This window comes from Homo sapiens, chromosome 6 (genome assembly GCF_000001405.40).
Source record: "Homo sapiens chromosome 6, GRCh38.p14 Primary Assembly".
NCBI classification, from domain to species: domain Eukaryota; kingdom Metazoa; phylum Chordata; class Mammalia; order Primates; family Hominidae; genus Homo; species Homo sapiens.
This window is the reverse complement of record NC_000006.12, coordinates 114,410,542-114,428,483: the sequence shown is the minus strand read 5'-3', so window position 1 is coordinate 114,428,483 and position 17,942 is coordinate 114,410,542. Positions and strand designations below refer to the sequence as shown.

General features: G+C 40.0%; 1 long non-coding RNA gene across 2 annotated transcripts in view, besides 7 other annotated features; it reads right to left on the bottom strand.

Moving 5' to 3' along the window:
- Positions 1 to 17,942, bottom strand: part of LOC107986638 (uncharacterized) — a 131,875-nt gene that overhangs the window by 45,716 nt on the left and 68,217 nt on the right. The window contains exons 5-6 of one of the 2 annotated variants that reach the window (XR_002956367.1): positions 12,872 to 12,912; positions 8,377 to 8,602 (exon numbers count right to left, since the gene is read on the bottom strand). This is a non-coding gene — a long non-coding RNA (uncharacterized LOC107986638). Of the gene's footprint in view, positions 1 to 8,376; positions 8,603 to 12,871; positions 12,913 to 17,942 lie in introns of those variants that run through there. The other variant, XR_002956366.2, reaches the window with a different exon arrangement.
- Positions 70 to 739: an enhancer, noted in NCBI's record as "OCT4-NANOG-H3K27ac-H3K4me1 hESC enhancer chr6:114748909-114749578 (GRCh37/hg19 assembly coordinates)". NCBI's record gives its function as "activates a minimal SCP1, AML or CMV promoter by ChIP-STARR-seq in naive H9 embryonic stem cells {active_cell/tissue: H9 hESC(naive)}" and the evidence as "EXISTENCE:reporter gene assay evidence [ECO:0000049][PMID:30033119]".
- Positions 1,410 to 2,080: an enhancer, noted in NCBI's record as "NANOG-H3K27ac-H3K4me1 hESC enhancer chr6:114747568-114748238 (GRCh37/hg19 assembly coordinates)". NCBI's record gives its function as "activates a minimal SCP1, AML or CMV promoter by ChIP-STARR-seq in primed H9 embryonic stem cells {active_cell/tissue: H9 hESC(primed)}" and the evidence as "EXISTENCE:reporter gene assay evidence [ECO:0000049][PMID:30033119]".
- Positions 2,081 to 2,749: an enhancer, noted in NCBI's record as "NANOG-H3K27ac-H3K4me1 hESC enhancer chr6:114746899-114747567 (GRCh37/hg19 assembly coordinates)". NCBI's record gives its function as "activates a minimal SCP1, AML or CMV promoter by ChIP-STARR-seq in primed H9 embryonic stem cells {active_cell/tissue: H9 hESC(primed)}" and the evidence as "EXISTENCE:reporter gene assay evidence [ECO:0000049][PMID:30033119]".
- Positions 2,750 to 3,420: an enhancer, noted in NCBI's record as "NANOG-H3K27ac-H3K4me1 hESC enhancer chr6:114746228-114746898 (GRCh37/hg19 assembly coordinates)". NCBI's record gives its function as "activates a minimal SCP1, AML or CMV promoter by ChIP-STARR-seq in naive and primed H9 embryonic stem cells {active_cell/tissue: H9 hESC(naive and primed)}" and the evidence as "EXISTENCE:reporter gene assay evidence [ECO:0000049][PMID:30033119]".
- Positions 3,421 to 4,090: an enhancer, noted in NCBI's record as "NANOG-H3K27ac-H3K4me1 hESC enhancer chr6:114745558-114746227 (GRCh37/hg19 assembly coordinates)". NCBI's record gives its function as "activates a minimal SCP1, AML or CMV promoter by ChIP-STARR-seq in naive H9 embryonic stem cells {active_cell/tissue: H9 hESC(naive)}" and the evidence as "EXISTENCE:reporter gene assay evidence [ECO:0000049][PMID:30033119]".
- Positions 5,567 to 6,231: an enhancer, noted in NCBI's record as "OCT4-NANOG-H3K27ac hESC enhancer chr6:114743417-114744081 (GRCh37/hg19 assembly coordinates)". NCBI's record gives its function as "activates a minimal SCP1, AML or CMV promoter by ChIP-STARR-seq in naive and primed H9 embryonic stem cells {active_cell/tissue: H9 hESC(naive and primed)}" and the evidence as "EXISTENCE:reporter gene assay evidence [ECO:0000049][PMID:30033119]".
- Positions 6,897 to 7,562: an enhancer, noted in NCBI's record as "OCT4-NANOG-H3K27ac hESC enhancer chr6:114742086-114742751 (GRCh37/hg19 assembly coordinates)". NCBI's record gives its function as "activates a minimal SCP1, AML or CMV promoter by ChIP-STARR-seq in naive H9 embryonic stem cells {active_cell/tissue: H9 hESC(naive)}" and the evidence as "EXISTENCE:reporter gene assay evidence [ECO:0000049][PMID:30033119]".

The window sequence follows — 17,942 nt, the reverse complement described above, 5'->3', positions numbered from 1 at the left end:
ACTTCAGTGCCAATATCACATCATTGGAAATGAGAGGTTAGTCGACCAAAAAAAAAAAAAAAAGACAAGTAAAAATTTCAACAAATAATAGTATGCATAGGATGCATAAAATAAAAAATTAATCAAGCATAAATTTGTATATATTTGTATAGTGTTCAGTTTTTCCTAATATACTCATATACATTATGTCAGGCCTTTGAGCCCAAGTCAAGCCATCGCATCCCCTGTGACTTGCATGTATACACCCAGATGGCCTGAAGTAACTGAAGAAACACAAAAGAAGTGAATATGCCCTGCCCCACCTTAACTGATGACATTCCACCACAAAAGAAGTGTAAATGGCCGGTCCTTGCCTTAACTGATGACATTACCTTGTAAAAGTCCTTTTCCTGGCTCATCCTGGCTCAAAAAGCACCCCCACTGAGCATCTTGCGACCCCCACTCCTGCCGGCCAGAGAACAAACCCCCTTTGACTGTAATTTTCCTTTACCTACCCAAATCCTATAAAATGTCCCCACCCTTATCTCCCTTTGCTGACTCTCTTTTTGGACTCAGCCCGCCTGCACCCAGGTGAAATAAACAGCCATGTTGCTCACACAAAACCTGTTTGGTGGTCTCTTCACACGGACGCGCATGAAATTTGGTGCTGTGACTCGGATCGGGGGACCTCCCTTGGGAGATCAATCCCCTGTACTCCTGTTCTTTGCTCCGTGAGAAAGATCCACCTATGACCTTAGGTCCTCAGACCGACCAGCCCAAGGAACATCTTACCAATTTTAAATCAGGTAAGCGGCCTCTTCTTACTCTCTTCTCCAACCTCTCTCACTGTCCCTCAACCACTTTCTCCTTTCCACTCTTCAACCTCTCCCTTCTCTTAATTTCAATTCCTTTCATTTTCTGGGAGAGACAAAGGAGACACGTTTTATCCATGGACCCAAAACTCCGGCGCCAGTCACGGACTGGGAAGGCAGCCTTCCCTTGGTGTTTAATCATTGCAGGGACGCCTCTCTGATTAAACACCCAAAAGGGCAAGTACCTCAACCCCTTCTCTCCTTGTCTCTACCCCTTCTCTGCTTTTCTGGGAGAGGGGCAAGTACCCCTCAACCCCTTCTCCTTCACCCTTAGCGGCAAGTCCCGCTTTTCTACGGGGCAAGAACCCCCAATCCCTTATTTTCACGCCCCAACCTCTTATCTCTGTGCCCCAATCTCTTATTTCCATGCCCCAACCTCTTATCTCTGTGCCCCAATCCCTTATTTCTGTGCCCCAACCTCTTATCTCTGTGCCCCAATCCCTTATTTCTGTGCCCCAACCTCTTATCTCTGCACCCCAATCCCCTATTTCCACACCTCGACCTCTTACCTCTGTGCCCCCATCCCTTATTTCCGCACCCCAACCTCTTATCTCTGTGCCCCAATCCCTTATTTCTGTGCCCCTACCTCTTATCTCTGTGCCCCAATCCCTTATTTCCGTGCCCCTACCTCATATCTCTGTGTCCCAATCCCTTATTTCCATGCCCCAACCTCTTATATCTCTGCACCCCAATCCCTTATTTCCATGCCCTGACCTCTTATCTCTGCGCCCCAACCCCTTTTCCCACTTTTCTGGAAGGTAAGAACCCCCGAACGCCTTCCCTCCGTTTCTCTACTCTCTCTTTTCTCTAGGCTTGCTTCCTTCACTATGGGCAAACTTCCACCCTCCATTCCTCCTTCTACTCCCTTGGCCTGTGTTCTCAAAAACTTAAAACCTCTTCAACTCACACCTGACCTAAAACCTAAATGCCTTATTTTCTTCTGCAATGCCTCTTGACCCCAATACAAACTCGACAGTAGTTCCAAATAGCCAGAAAATGGCACTTTGAATTTTTCCATCCTGCGAAATCTAAATAATTCTTGTCATAAAATAGGCAAACGGTCTGAGGTGCCTGACGTCCAGGCATTCTTTTACACATCAGTCCCTTCCTAGTCTCTGTGCCCAGTGCAACTCGTCCCAAATCTTCCTTCTTTCCCTCCCGCCTGTCCCCTCAGTACCAACCCCAAGTGTCGCTGAGTCTTTCTAATCTTCCTTTTCTACAGACCCATCTGACCTCTCCCTTCCTCCCCAGGCTGCTCCTCGCCAGGCCGAGCTAGGTCCCAATTCTTCCTCAGCCTCCGCTTCTCCACCCTATAATCTTTTTATCGCCTCCCCTCCTCACACCTGGTCTAGCTTACAGTTTCGTTCCGTGACTAGCCCTCCCCCACCTGCCCAGCAATTTACTCTTAAAAAGGTGGCTGGAGCCAAAGGCATAGTCAAGGTTAATGCTCCTTTTTCTTTATCCCAAATCAGAAGCATTTAGGCTCTTTCTCATCAAACATAAAAACCCAGCCCAGTTCATGGCTCTTTTGGCAGCAACCCTGAAACGCTTTACAGCCCTAGACCCTAAAAGGTCAAAAGGCCGTCTTATTCTCAATATACATTATATTACCCAATCTGCTCCCAACATTAAATAAAACTCCAAAAATTGGAATCTGGCCCTCAAACCACACAACAGGACTTAATTAACCTCACCTACAAGGTGTACAATAACAGAAAAAAAGTTGCAATTCCTTGCCTCCACTGTGAGACAAACCCCAGCCACATCTCCAGCACACAAGAACTTCCAAACACCTGAACTGCAGTGGCCAGGCGTTCCTCCAGAACCTCCTCCCCCAGGAGCTTGCTACACATGCCGGAAATCTGGCCACTGGGCCAAGGAATGCCCGCAGCCTGGGATTCCTCCTAAGCTGCATCCCATCTGTGTGGGACCCCACGGAAAATCAGACTGTTCAACTCACCTGGCAGCCACTCCCAGAGCCCCGGGAACGCTCTCTGACTCCTTCCCAGATCTTCTCGGCTTAGCGGCTGAAGACTGACACTGCCCGATCGCCTCGGAAGCCCCCTAGACCATCACGGACACCGAGCTTCAGGTAACTCTCACAGTGGAAGGTGAGCCCGTCCCCTTCTTAATCAATACGGAGGCTACCCACTCCACATTACCTTCTTTTCAAGGGCCTGTTTCCCTTGCCTCCATAACTGTTGTGGGTGTTGACGGCCAGGCTTCTAAACCTCTTAAAACTCCCCAACTCTGGTGCCAACTTAGACAATACTCTTTTAAGCACTCCTTTTTAGTTATCCCCACCTGCCCAGTTCCCTTATTAGGCTGAGACACTTTAACTAAATAATCTGCTTCCCTGACTATTCCTGGATCTCATTAAAACCTAATCACCCTTACCCCACTCAACGCCAATATCCCATCCCGCAGCACGCTTTAAAAAGATTAAAGCCTGTTATCACTCGCCTGCTACAGCATGGCCTTTTAAACCCTATAAACTCTCCTTACAATTCCCCCATTTTACCTGTCCTAAAACCAGACAAGCCTTACAAGTTAGTTCAGGGTCTACGCCTTATCAACCAAATTGTTTTGCCTATCCACCCTGTGGTGCCCAACCCATACACTCTTTTGTCCTCAATACCTTCCTTCACAACTCACTATTCCGTGCTTGATCTTAAAGATGCTTTTTTCACTATTCCCCTGCATCCCTCATCCCAGCCTCTCCTTGCTTTCACTTAGACTGACCCTGACACCCATTAGGCTCAGCAAATTACCAAGGCTGTACTGCCGCAAGGCTTCATAGACAGCCCCCATTACTTCAGTCAAGCCCAAATTTCATCCTCATCTGTTACCTATCTCGGCATAATTCTCATAAAAACATACGTGCTTTCCCTGCTGATCGTGTCCAATTAATCTCCCAAACCTCAATCCCTTACAAAACAACAACTGCTTTCCTTCCTAGGCATAGTTAGTGCGGTCAGAATTCTTACACAAGAGCCAGGACCGCACCCTGTAGCCTTTCTCTGCAAACAACTTGACCTTACTGTTTTAGCCTAGCCCTCATGTCTGTGTGCGGCGGCTGCCGCTGCTTTAATACTTTTAGAGGCCCTCAAAATCACAAACTATGCTCAACTCACTCTCTACAGTTCTCATAACTTCCAAAATCTGTTTTCTTCCTCATACCTGACGCATGTACTTTCTGCTTCCCCGCTCCTTCAGCTATACTCACTCTTTGTTGAGTCTCCCACAATTACCATTGTTCCTGGCCCGGACTTCAATCCGGCCTCCCACATTATACCTGATACCACACCTGACCCTCATGACTGTATCTCTCGGATCCACCTGACATTCACCCCATTTCCCCAAATTTCCTTCTTTCCTGTTCCTCACCCTGATCACGCTTGATTTATTGATGGCGGTTCCACCAGGCCTAATCGCCACACACCGGCAAAGGCAGGTTATGCTATAGTACAAGCCACTAGCCTGCCTCTTAGAACCTCTCATTTCCTTTCCATCATGGAAATCTATCCTCAAGGAAATAACTTCTCAGTGTTCCATCTGCTATTCTACTACTCCAGGGATTATTCAGGCCCCCTCCCTTCCCTACACATCAAGCTCGAGGATTTGCCCCACCCAGGACTGGCAAATTAGCTTTACTCAACATGCCCGAGTCAGGAAACTAAAATACCTCTTAGTCTAAATAGACACTTTCACTGAATAAGTAAAGGCCTTTCCTACAGGGTCTGAGAAGGCCACCGCAGTCATTTCTTCCCTTCTGTCAGACATAATTCCTCAGTTTAGCCTTCCCACCTCAATACAGTCTGATAACAGACGAGCCTTTATTAGTCAAATCAGCCAGCAGTTTTTCAGACTCTTAGTATTCAGTGAAACCTTTATATCCCTTATGGTCCTCCGCCTTCAAGAAAAGTAGAATAGACTAAAGGTCTTTTAAAAACACACCTCACCAAGCTCAGCCACCAACTGAAAAAGGACTGGACAATACTTTTACCACTTTCCCTTCTCAGAATTCAGGCCTGTTCTCGGAATGCTACAGGGTACGGCCGATTTAAGCTCCTGTATAGACGCTCTTTTTTATTAGGCCCCAGTCTCATTCCAGACACAAGACCAACTTAGACTGTGCCTCAAAAAAAAAAAAAAAAAAAAAAAAAAAAAACTTGTCATCCCTACTATTTTCTGTCTAGTCATACTCCTATTCACCGTTCTCAACTACTCAAACATGCCCTGCTCTTGTTTACACTGCCAGTTTACACTGTTTTTCCAAGCCATCACAGCTGATATCTCCTGGTGCTATCCCCAAACTGCCACTCTTAACTCTTGAAGTAAATAAATAATCTTTGCTGGCAGGACTATGCTGAATCTCCTTAGGCACTCTCTAATCAGATATCCTGAGTCGTCCCAATTCTTAGACCTTTTATACCTGTTTTTCTCCTTCTGTTATTCCATTTAGTTTTTCAATTCATACAAAACTGTATCCAGGCCATCACCAATCATTCTATAAGACAAATGTTTCTTCTAACATCCCCACAATATCACCCCTTACCACAAGACCTCCCTTCAGCTTAATCTCTCCCACTCTAGGTTCCCACGCTGCCCCTAATCCCGCTTGAAGCAGCCCTGAGAAACATCGCCCATTCTCTCTCCATACCACCCCCCAAAAGTTTTCGCCGCCCCAACACTTCAACACTATTTTGTTTTATTTTTCTTATTAATATAAGAAGGCAGGAATGTCAGGCCTCTGAGCCCAAGCCAAGCCATCGCATCCCCTGTGACTTGCACATATAAGCCCAGATGGCTTGAAGTAACTGAAGAATCACAAAAGAAGTGAATATGCCCTGCCCCACCTTAACTGATGACATTCCACCACAAAAGAAGTGTAAATGGCCGGTCCTTGCCTTAACTGATGACATTACCTTGTAAAAGTCCTTTTCCTGGCTCATCCTGGCTCAAAAAGCACCCCCACTGAGCATCTTGCGACCCCCACTCCTGCCCACCAGAGAACAAACCCCCTTCGACTGTAATTTTCCTTTACCTACCCAAATCCTATAAAACGGCCCCACCCTTATCTCCCTTTGCTGACTCTCTTTTCGGACTCAGCCCGCCTGCACCCAGGTGAAATAAACAGCCATGTTGCTCACACAAAGCCTGTTTGGTGTTCTCTTCACACGGACGTGCATGAAATTTGGTGCCGTTTTTTGTTGCTCACACAAAGCCTGTTTGGTGGTCTCTTCACACGGACGCGCATGAAATTTGGTGCCGTTTTTTGTTGCTCACACAAAGCCTGTTTGGTGGTCTCTTCACACGGACGCGCATGAAACATTATTTCATCTGGTTGTCAAAATAACCTCATGTGCTGGCTATTACAGATATTTCTAACCTCATTTTACAAACTTAAGGAACTTAGCCCCAGAGAGGTTAATCTGTCTCTGTTTTTTTTTTCTTTTTTTCATTCACTCAACAAATACTTACTGAAAACCTACTAAGCGCCGTATGTTGCCCTAAGAATTGTAGGGTGACAAACCATCCCAGCTTGCCCAGAACTAGGGAGATTCCTGGGATGCAGATTTTTCGTGCTAAAACGGGACTGTCCCGGGCAAACTGGGATGGTTGGTCAGCTTAACTCAATCTGGCCACCCTAAGAGCACATCACAGTTCAAGTCACAAAATCAACCACACCAGATGGAGAGCTCAGTCTCTCTCTCTCTCTCATTATTTTTGCCTCACCTGGGACTTTTATTTCTGGACCCTACTCCCAGCATTAGACTAAAAGTTCTCCTTAATGTTGCCAGTGATCACCCAAGCACCCAAAACTAGCTTTGTTGCCCACTTGTCTGCAAAATTTGATATTCTGACAACCTGATACTCTCTTTGGCCTTTACTCTTTCCCTTGCTTTTCTCTTTCATAATGCCCAACATCTTCCCATCTAAACTTCCATCATTAAGCGCATGGCACCCAAATGTATACCCACAGCTGCAATGTGATGGCTTTGACATGTGGATGTGTATGACTAAAAGGTATCTCCTTAACTCCTGGCTATCCCAAGTATTCAAATAAACTAAATCTCAACAAAAATGTTGGTTTCTTCACCCCCAATTCTTCCTCTTGACTTTCCTATCTCTGTCTTCAGGCAACACCACTCTGTTAGTACTAGGCTCATTCTCAGCCACCAGTGGTCTCTTTCTCTCCCTATTCACCACATCTAAGGTGTTAACAGTTCCCAGCAAGCAGTCCTTCAGAAAGTTTTTCATATTCATCCCTTCTTTTCTTTCCCCACTATTACCACCTTAGCTAAATTCCTCTTTACCTCCCTAGGGTTATTGTTCTGGTCTCTTCCCTGAACCAGCTCCACCCTCCACCTTCACATTCATTTCTTTCTTCACTCCAATTTAGTCTACACTGCTCCCAGGTTAAAGTGCATTCTGGCTTTAATGCCCGATGTTCTTTCGTATGAGCCCCATTCTCCAGCCAAAAAATAACCATTTGCTATGCAGTCTTTTCCTCTCTGTGCCTTTGTTATATTATTCCTTATGTGCATAATATTTTATTCTGTCAAATTCAACTCATCTTTCAAGGCAATCTTAAATTTCAAAGTTCCATAGAAATACTTTGTAGTTTCAAATGGATGAGAACCCCTTCCTATGAACTCACTTCACTTTGTACTCCTAAACGCTCATCCTCACCTGCTTTATATTGTAATTATTTGTATTCTTTTCTCAGTCCTCCAACTAGAATGTATACTTCTCAAGACCGAGGCTGTGTCCTATTCATTCTAGTTCCCCTGCTTAACGCAGCAGGTGTTCATTATGTTTTTATGAAAGATTGAATTTAACTCCTCACCCAATTCTGGCTTCAGAAATGAATTTTGTAAATTAGTCATTTCAGATATTTAAAATTTAGTGTGTGCCTTAAACAAATATATAATGAATTCATGAACAATGTAATTAAAAAAAAAACCCTCAAACACCCAAGGATTATCCAACATCAACACAAAGTTCCTGAGTACAGAGGTATCCCTAGGATCATTACTCTAGTGTGCAAGTTTGTACACATACATGTTGTCAGCCCAGCCAGCCCCTTATCAGCTACTCTGCAGAAAAGGCCGCAGACAAGGAGAGCTATTCCAGGATGGGCAATCACTTGCATTCAGAAAATAGACTTTAATTGAGTAATTTTTCAGATGGTTGAAATTGAATTGGTATTGCACTGGAAAAAGAATGCCTGTTTGGGGCCTAAATTGTTCCTCCCCATTTAGAGGGGACACAATGTAAGCATAAGACTCATGCAGTTTGGGAATTATAAAGATTTGGATTTTAGGACAGTCCCAAAATAAACCCATCAATTCAGGCCTTAGAGGGTTTCACTTAATCTGGAATCAATTGAAACACTGTAACTAAAAGGTTCATCACAATATTTAGTCTTTATAGACCCAATTTCCAAAATATCAAAGTTGAAGGGAAGTAGAGTCATTTTTCATCATATTTGCAAAAAAATTCTCCCACAGGCTTTGGACCTGCATCTGGAGGGAAAAATAAGAGATTAATGGGGAAAAAAATCATATTATATCTTACCTTATCCACTGCCCCCTGCCTTCAAATCTTTCCCCATCATAAGGTTTCTTCAGTCATGCACAAATACTTCAGAGACTGCTACCTCAGACACTGCCGTCAGCGCCCAGAGGATTGAGATTTAGTCTTTGCATCTTAATTACAGCTGACTCTTTTTCCCTTGTTCTGAGCTGAGTTATAGCAAGGAAAGGGGGAGATGAATGAATGACCCATGCATCTGACATCTAATATCTGCTACTTCAGATTTGGGGTTTGATTTAGTGTCTCTATCAGAGAGTTTGAGGAAACAAAGTCTTTTATCTTCTTTAAATAAATTCATGCACTGAAGCACAATTTACCTTCTCTGGCAGTTTTATTATTCAGAACAATGGGCTTTTTTAGTTGTGCAATATTTTGGCTTTTCCCTTTCCTCTCACGTTTATAAACAAAAACATTCAGTTTAGTAATTTAAACAAGGATAAAACAGAAGTGGTGCATGGCACTAAGACTACAAAAGTGCCATGTTGTCATTTTCATTTTTTTTTTTTACAAAGGACATATAATTGAAAGCAAAAGACTCCTTATCTTTGTATTTAAATAATGACCTAAATTCAGTACACGAAAATGACCTTTTCTGTGGATGCATTGTGGCTGTTACCTCATCACCCTTTCATCTATATGAAACTTTGTATGAGTCAGTTTCTGAAGCATGAGGGCCTCCACTCTGCCCACAGGCTCCAGCCACAGTGATAAATGGGGCCCAAGTCCCACCTCTGTTCCACTAACTAACCATAGCTACCCTGCCTGGCAGTTGCTCTTTCCCAAAAGAGCACCTCTTTTTCGACACAAATGTACCACCTGTTCTTCCAAATGTTTCCTGGTGCTGCATTGGCTCACAGGAATATGCTTTTGTTTTCCCTAATTGACCTGCTTAGAAGAGGCATTGTTTTGTTATTTGCACGAAGGCATTATATAACCTAGCTGCAACTTGGCCCTTGGATCTGATGTATGTGTTCTGGATGAATGGTGAAAACACTATGCAATGAGGATTAAGCAGGCTTCATTAAGAGAAACAAAAAATCATACAACAGTTTTGCTAATCCAGCATTTACTTGCATTGAAAGTCATTTACTTGCATTGAAAGTCAACAAATGGGTGAGGTGCGGTGCTCACACCTTTAACCCCAGCACTTGGGGAGGCTGAGATGGGAGGATCACTTGAGCCCAGGAGTTTGAGACCAGCCTGGACAACATGGTGAGACCCCGTCTCTGCAAAAATAAATAAATAAATAAATAAATAAATAAATAAATAAATAAAAGTTTAAAAAATTAAATCAATTGATGACAAGAAGGGAAGTTGGAAAGACACTTGGGATTCTGACAGAACGTGTTCAGATGGTATGTCCCACTGGGGAAGCTGTTATGGAGAAAATGGGGTCTCAGGGATACCAGAACTAGGTTTATGTCACCCAGAACAGTGTCATGACCAAAAGGACAGGTGGAATGGAATAAGCCCGTGATTATCAGGAAGTAGAACACACCTTGGTGAGGTGTGTCTCTAGGTGGAATATTCATTACAAGCTCAAGACAGTACTGCAGGAGAGGGCGCATCTTGAGTTTAATGGAGAAATCTCTCAGGCAGCAGAAGATAACAAAGACCTATCCTAACTGTAAACTAGGTCCTTGGAAAAAATGGACAAACCTAATTGCTTTCTTCATCTTCTGTGGATGCTGATGGAGAAAATCAACCTCTGTGCAACAGATGCTACTGAGATTCCATGGTCTCCTGCAACTTTTTTGTCTCATTTTTTCCCTACAGAAACTGTTCCAATGCTTCTTCACTCTGATCAGTCTCTGACCCCATCACCCTCTCCTTTACTTATCATAGATTTTTAACTAATATTTTACAGAGAAATTGAAGATGAACTACTGACCGCTTCCCTAATCATTCATTCATTTAATAAGTATTGATTAAGGGTATGCTGTCTGCCAGGCACAATAACAGGTACTGTTTATAAAGAGATGAAGAGAGACAGGTGCCTGCACTCTTCAAGATTACTCTTCTCTTCCAAACAGAACCACATCCTTTCTTCCTTTCTTACTGCCTGTTTTATTAGATCTTACTAAATCTTATTAGATCTATATTAGACCCTGTGTTCTTTATCTTATCCCACAAGACTTTCTTTGAAATTTTTTTAAAACACTCTCCTCTCACTGTTTTTTCTTCAGTTTCTTTTTCCTATCAGAATGTCATATTCAGTTCTCTTTTTTAAACAATTATCCCTCAAACTCCCTTGAGATTCTGGTTACTACTCTCTCTTGACCCTTTTCCTCCCAGGTTTCTTGGATGCATTGCTAGCTCTTGGTATGGTATTTGCTTCCTCACCTACCACTTCAAAATTGCTCACCTTGCTCTCACTAGAGTGACAAAATTCAGTGAGTATATTTTAGATCTCATCTTAGTGACTCTTTGGTAGCAGTTTTAATGTTAAACAAACTTTCCTACATTAACGGTTCCTTTCTCTAGTCTTCCAACACAACACAAACTCTAGTTTTCTTCTTAAATGTTGGGCCATCAATTCTCAGTGTCTTTTATAAACTGCTCTTCCTCTGGGCTTCTGATAAACACTGGTGGTGTGTTCCTTCTCTTCACTTCGTTTTAGTGATGTCACAAGTGAAAGGTTTCAGTTATATAAATTAGTGGATTTCAAATCTTACTGTAAGAATCAACTGGAAAATTCGATCTAGTAGACAAAGGTGGGGACAAATTTAGTGTTTTAACAAGCACTCCTGATAATTCTGAGAAAAGTAGTCATCACATTCAAATTTCTCTTAAGCTCTGAGATAAACCATAAATCCTGCAATAACATGAATTGTGTCTTTCTTACTTATCGTGGTCTTCTCAGAGTCTAGCAGGGTATCTAATTAACACAAGTGTTCATTTGCTAGTTGTAGAACAATTGAATGTATATGTAACTGATAGACAATCTCCAGCCCAGACTTCAGTTTTCATTCCCCACCAACCACCAATCTCAGTGAATGGCTCTATCATCCACTGATATCAGATCAGAAACCCCGATTCTTCTATCCACTTCAACCCTGCCAACCAATCAATTGACAAGCACATCTACTTTAATCTTCTTATATCTTGCAAAGCCTTCCACTTCTTTCCATCACCATTGCCAATGTCCTAGTCCAGGCCACCACCATTTTTCAACTGGATTACTTCCATGCTCTTTTAACTAGTCATACTGTATCTATTCTTACTCCAAGTTTTCTTAAACAAAACTTGCATCATTAGAGTTCAAACACAGTGATATGGCTTGCATTGTCCTTTATGACATGGCCTCTGCTCACCTCTACCAAATTCATTTTCAACTTGCTTACTTCTGTTCACCCCACTTTATGCCCTACTCAAATTTTGGAAAGTATTTTTCTTACCTTTTATTCTAATGGTATTTCTTTTTACAAAAGCTTTTAAAGATGTATTTATTTAAATGCCAGTTCCAAATGAAAAATTTTATTTTAGGTCTCATTTATATAAGTTACTTACTTTTTCATATTTTGATTCCTTTACTATACAGTTTCCAACTCCATTTTTCAGCCTTTGTTAATTTAGTTTGATATATTTGATATAAATTATTATTGTTGCATTATTATTAAATTATTAATTTTGCATGATATACATTTTCAAGAATAAATTTTTGAAACTTTAATTGTAACAATGAAAGTATTTTCAATTTTTCTCTAACAGATTTCAATAAAATTTTTTTAATACTTCTGTGCTTTATCCCTCATTCTGTTGAATGGTATCACTAATAATTTTTCAAAAAAGTAGACAATATTTTCTTAATAAAATCTGAAATTACCATTCTATTATCTGAATGATAGGATGATAAAATTCTTAGGTTACAGAACTTTTTATACCCTTTTGTTTTTTGGAGATAGGGTCTCACTCCATTACCCAGGCTAGAGTTCAGTGGTACAATCATGGCTTGCTCAGCCTCCTGGGCTTAAGCAATCCTCTTGCCTCAGCCTCCAAGTTGCTGGGACCACCTGCTTTTTTTTTTTTTTAGAGAGAGAGGCTAGACTTGAACTCCTGTGCTCAAGTGATCCTCCCACCTTAGCCTCTCAAAGTGCTGGGATTACAGGCGTGAGCCACCATGCCCAGCTTTCAATATTTTTTTGGCATTCATTTTGCATTGGACAACATGTGACAAAACTGAATTTTTCTCCTTGAAAGGCCAATTACTTTTGTCAACTTAGATACTTATAAAGCATTTTAATCTATGTAGTTCAATATTTTTTATTCTGTGATCAGATGGAGATATGTTTTCATTGTATTTTCATTGTATTCTTCCTGGAATACAGTGACGTTTTTCAACCCACTGTTGAATACTAGCTTTCTAAAATATCACCAAATCAACCTGTTAATAAGACAGAGCTGAGTTTATTGCTTACCTCAATAAGAGAAAGCACTACTCCCAGTGTTAACAGCACCTCTGAAGAAGAAGCACAAAGATATTTATGAGATTCTGAAGTCTGGCTTAACATAGGTCTTTTAACGGGAAGGAGGAAAGGAAGAGGTTTGATTAGGATTGGGTAAGGATCATGATAGAATAATATAGCATTGGTAGGCATAGGAAGGAGAGGATTTTGAAGAGAAAGGTTCAAAATGTTTTGGGAAAAAAATGAGCCACAATAGCATTATCATTCCTAAAAGATAATATTTTTAATATCATTAAATATAAGTATTCAAATTTCCCCACATTATCAAATAAATTGGAGGATGAAAGAAATATCTCGGGATATAACATTTGCTTCCTGTTGAAGAGTTGGTGGGTCTCTCAGGAAGTTTCTGGAGTAATCAATAAAATTATTTGCAGACAATAAAAGTCATTTGCAATTTTTACCTTCCAGAGCAGGAGTTTCTGGGAATAATAAAGCCATGTTAATGTAAACAGGAATGGTGTGGGTGTAGATATTAATAGTTTCGGCTTTTAGTGCATGCACATGTCTTTCTTCAGCTCAGGAGAACATTATTGATTTGGATGTTTAGTTGTTGTTGTTCTGAGCTCTTCTTCAGAATTAGTGATGTAAAACATGGCCACTTGCTTTCTGAGCTTTTCATTATCTTCCTGGGTTGCAGAAACTGACTCACCAAGTGTCGCCTGAGATGTAAAGAGGGTGCCCAGATATATATTTTGTTCATACCTTAGGTCTAAAGTCACCAAATGGGTATGGGAGAAGAGAGGTATAAAGTATAGTTCATTTTTGTTAGATAATATGGTTTGTGATATGGAACCAAGGCTTGAAATGAGCTGAAGCCTGAAGATTTTATATCAAGCCATTTCTATTTGCCTAATAATTATTGACAGTCTTTTCCAAATGATTGGCATTTGTCCTTATGCCTGTTTATAGACAGACAGATAGGCATATAGATACATAGAAATACAAAGATAGAGACATAGAGACAGATAGATGTAATTTTTCATGTACATGAAAAACTTTTTTGGCTAGGCCCAAAAAACTTTGGGATGCTGAGGCAGAAGGACTGCCTGAGCCCAGGAGTTTGATACCAGCCTGGGCAACATGGTGAGACCCCATCTCTACAATTGTTTTTTTAATTAGCTGAACACAATGACACACACCTGTGGTCCCACCTACTCAGGAGGCTTAGGTGAGAGGATCACTTGAGCCCAGGAGGCTGAGGCTTCACTGAGCCATGTTGGTATCACTGCCTTCCAGCCTGGGCGACAGAGTGAGACGCTCTCTTAAAAAAAAAAAAAAAAATCACAAAAAACAATCAAACAAAACCTTTTCCTTTTGGAAAAATTTTATATTTGCTAAAATGTTTCAAAGACAGTACAAAGAGTTCTCATATATCACTTACCCAGTTTTATCCATTTTTATCATCTTATTTTATCATGGTATATGAAATAAATGTTAGTATATTACTAAACCCTAAACTTAATTCGTGTTCCACCGTTTTTTTTCCCATTAATGCTCTGTTTCTGTTCCAGAATTCAATCCAGGGTACCATAGTATGTTTGAAAGTCACACCTCCTAAGTCTCCTGGACTTCTACACTTTCTGTCTTCCTTTGTTTCTTATGTCTTTGAAAGTCTTGAGGGGGACTGGCAAGTAGTCTGTAGAATGTTTTCCAATCTGGGTTCATATTCACCAGAGAAAAAGAGCTAGAATGGATAGATCGATCAATACATAGATGGATAGATGGCAAGAACTTGGCTTATGGGACATGCTCAGTAAGACCAAAATCTGCTGGACAGGCCATCAGAAAAGGTAGGCTGGAAACTTTCAGGCAGGCATTGAATCTGCAGTCCAGAATTTCTGCTTCCTCAGGAAAATCTCACTTCTTTTCATTCAGATTTTTTAGGATAATCTCTTTTGCTTAAACTGATTATACAGGCTAAACACATCTGCAAAGTCTCTGCACAGCAACACCTAAATTCATGTTTGATTGAGTAACTGAGTATTGTTGCTGAGCCTAAGTTGGCACATAAACCTGACCATCACACTAAGGTTATGAATTTTTGAAATCATGCAACAAAGGTGCATCCCATTATATCAGGGTGTATGTGACATCTAGATGACATTACAGTGACATTAACCTTTATCAGTTTGGTAAGGGGGCTTTCGCCAGGATTCTTCTTAGTAAACCTATCACTTTTCCTGCTTTTTTCTCTATTCTTTGGAAATAAGCTACAAAGCCTAGAATGCCCTAGCAGGTAGAAGGAATTAAACTTCACTTCTTGTACTGGGGAGTATCTACATATGTTATTTGAAATTCTTCTGTAAGAAACAGTTGTTTCTTTTCCTCATTTATTTCTTTATTCTGTCATTTATCCATGTCAGGATAGATTCATGTATATACTTTGGATTACAATCTAATACTATATCCCTTTGTTGTTCAAATTGTTCCATTGCGGGCCACTGAGCGCTCTATCAGGTTGCTTCCTATGTCTCTTTGACATGCCCCCATCCTTTTGCTTTTTAATCACTTTTTTTACTTTCTGGTACTAAAAGATATTCCAGGCTCATCTTGTATTTTTCCTGTCCTGGTCCCAGAATCAGCCATTTCTCCAAGAAACCTGTTGCTTTTATTAGAAAACAATATTTAGAAACCAAGAAAGATCTGAATGTGCAGTGTGCTCATTGCTAGTGGGTGTCATGGTTTCTAGAACCTCTCAGAAGATAGCGCTAGGTAAAATATACTAATCTGTATATCTATAATTGTTTCTATATTTATCCAATATTTGGATATATTTATTGGATATATTTATCCAATAAATTGGATATATTTATATTGGATATATTTATCCAATATTTAGCTTTAGTAAGCTAAACATTAGTTTATACCAATGTGTCCAATTTTACTCCAGCAGTGTGGAGCTCATTATGGACCTTTTTTCTTATTTATCAGTGACTTCCTTCTCTAACAGTGAGAAACCTGGCCCCCACACCCAAAAGCCATTTACATATTTGTTCAACCTCAGTATACATGTAAAGCACTTTTAGAATTGTTAACCCATAAGCCTGTGCAAAAAAAAAAATACCAACTAGAGTACGGTGTTTATGTCTAGTTCTTTTTCTGCAGTCTTACAATTTCTAGTAAAAATTTCATTTACCAAAGTTACTTGTTAGGATTTTTCTTTTAGGTTGCATACATTAAACTTTACTTTCTATGTATAATTCTAGGAATTTTGATATGTATAGTAGTGTATCATCCCCCCAGGACCACACAGAATGTTTCCTTTATCCTAAAATTTCCTCTGTGCAACCTCTTTGCAGACAACCACTGCCACTTCCTTAAATTTTCCTAGATTTTTAATATTATTTTTGTTTTTTAGTCTTTTTCTTTATATGTTTTGTTGGATAATTATAGAGGAAGCTCAACCAAAGTAGGCTAACCATATAGCATCTTTCTGTTCATTCTATTTTGAACAACTGTTTTCCAAGCTCTTCATTCTATTTTGAACTACTGTTTTCCAAGCTCTTCACATTGCCATGCATTTGGATGGGTAGAGAATATATACAGAAGGATACTTTTTATTAAAGGTCATGTTTACTGTAGTAGTATATTTGGACTTTCAATTATTTTATTTCTTTATAGTTTACACTTTAAGATACAGTAAAAATCAACAGAAGCTTTATTTTTACAAACCAATTAGAGTCACAAAAAATGTTTTATGTCATACTAATGATGGTATATTACGGAAGAAAGTACAATGACCTGTATGAACTATACTTGCTGTTAGTTATAGTAATTATATATCTAATTCTGTGTTTTAAAATAATTGTATACTAAATGTAGCAATGTAAAACATATGAACCCTGAGGCTCAGTGGTTCATGCCTATAATCCTAGCACTTTGGGAGGCCAAAGCAGAGGAATAACTTGAGGCCAGGAATTGGAGACCAGGCTGGGCAACATAATGAGACCCTATCTCTAAAAAAAAATATAGAAATAAAAAATTTGCTGAGTGTGGTGGCACATGTTTGTAGTCCTAGCTACTGGGGAGGCTAAGGTGGGAGGATCACTTGATTCCAGAAATTTTAAACTGCAGTGAGCTATGATTGTGCCACTGCACTATAGCCTGGGTGACAGAGTGACTCTCAAAGAAATAAACAAAATCAACTCTGTAACTTTAGAATATATACGAATTTCATTGTCATATTTATTTTAGAATTTACAAATATTAAACCAGTAGGTTGTTAAGTTTTATTTCTCCTATACTGGAGAAATCTCTGGAGGCCACTTTGCTTTCTGATAAACTGATATCTCAGGCCAGGTGTGCATGGGTATGTGTGTGGTTATTGGTGGAAGAAACTGAGGTTCATCTTTGAATAAATTTATAATCTTATCTTCCCTGACTCCATAGAATTCAGCCTGCTTAAGTACCAAACAATACTGAAGAAAATATGTTCAGAGAATTTTTAAATAAAGTCTAATTATCTTTAAAATAGACAAACAGAATTAGATCATGTTTTCCATTATAATAATTATCTCTTGTGGAAAACAGCAGTTGGATGAATTTAGAAAATGAATGAATTATGTTATATAATGTGTATACCCATTTCATGATACCATTTTTTAAGACACAGAATTTCTGTAATAGCAAATCACTTACCATAAGATTTTTTTTTCATTAATTTGCATTCTTCACAACAACTAACAGAAAAGTATTGTGATTGTGTCTCACCTGCAATTTGGTGGGCAAACTGGTACACCTACTTTAACCTCTATGATCAAATGACACTGCTTCAGGAGTATTTTAGGAAAGTCTGCTGCCTTGACAAATATGATTCTCAACTGAATTTAAATAATGCATTTTGAACAATATTTGCAGTTGAGGAGAACACAAAGCATTTGTAACTTTGGTAAATAGCATTGAAGGCCACAAGGGATAGGAATGTGTTTTTGTTGTCATTGTTGTTTTGTATATACCTGAGAAAGCCTTTCCTTTTATTATCATCCTAGGGTCTGAGAGATAGAGGGGACTACAGAGGTCA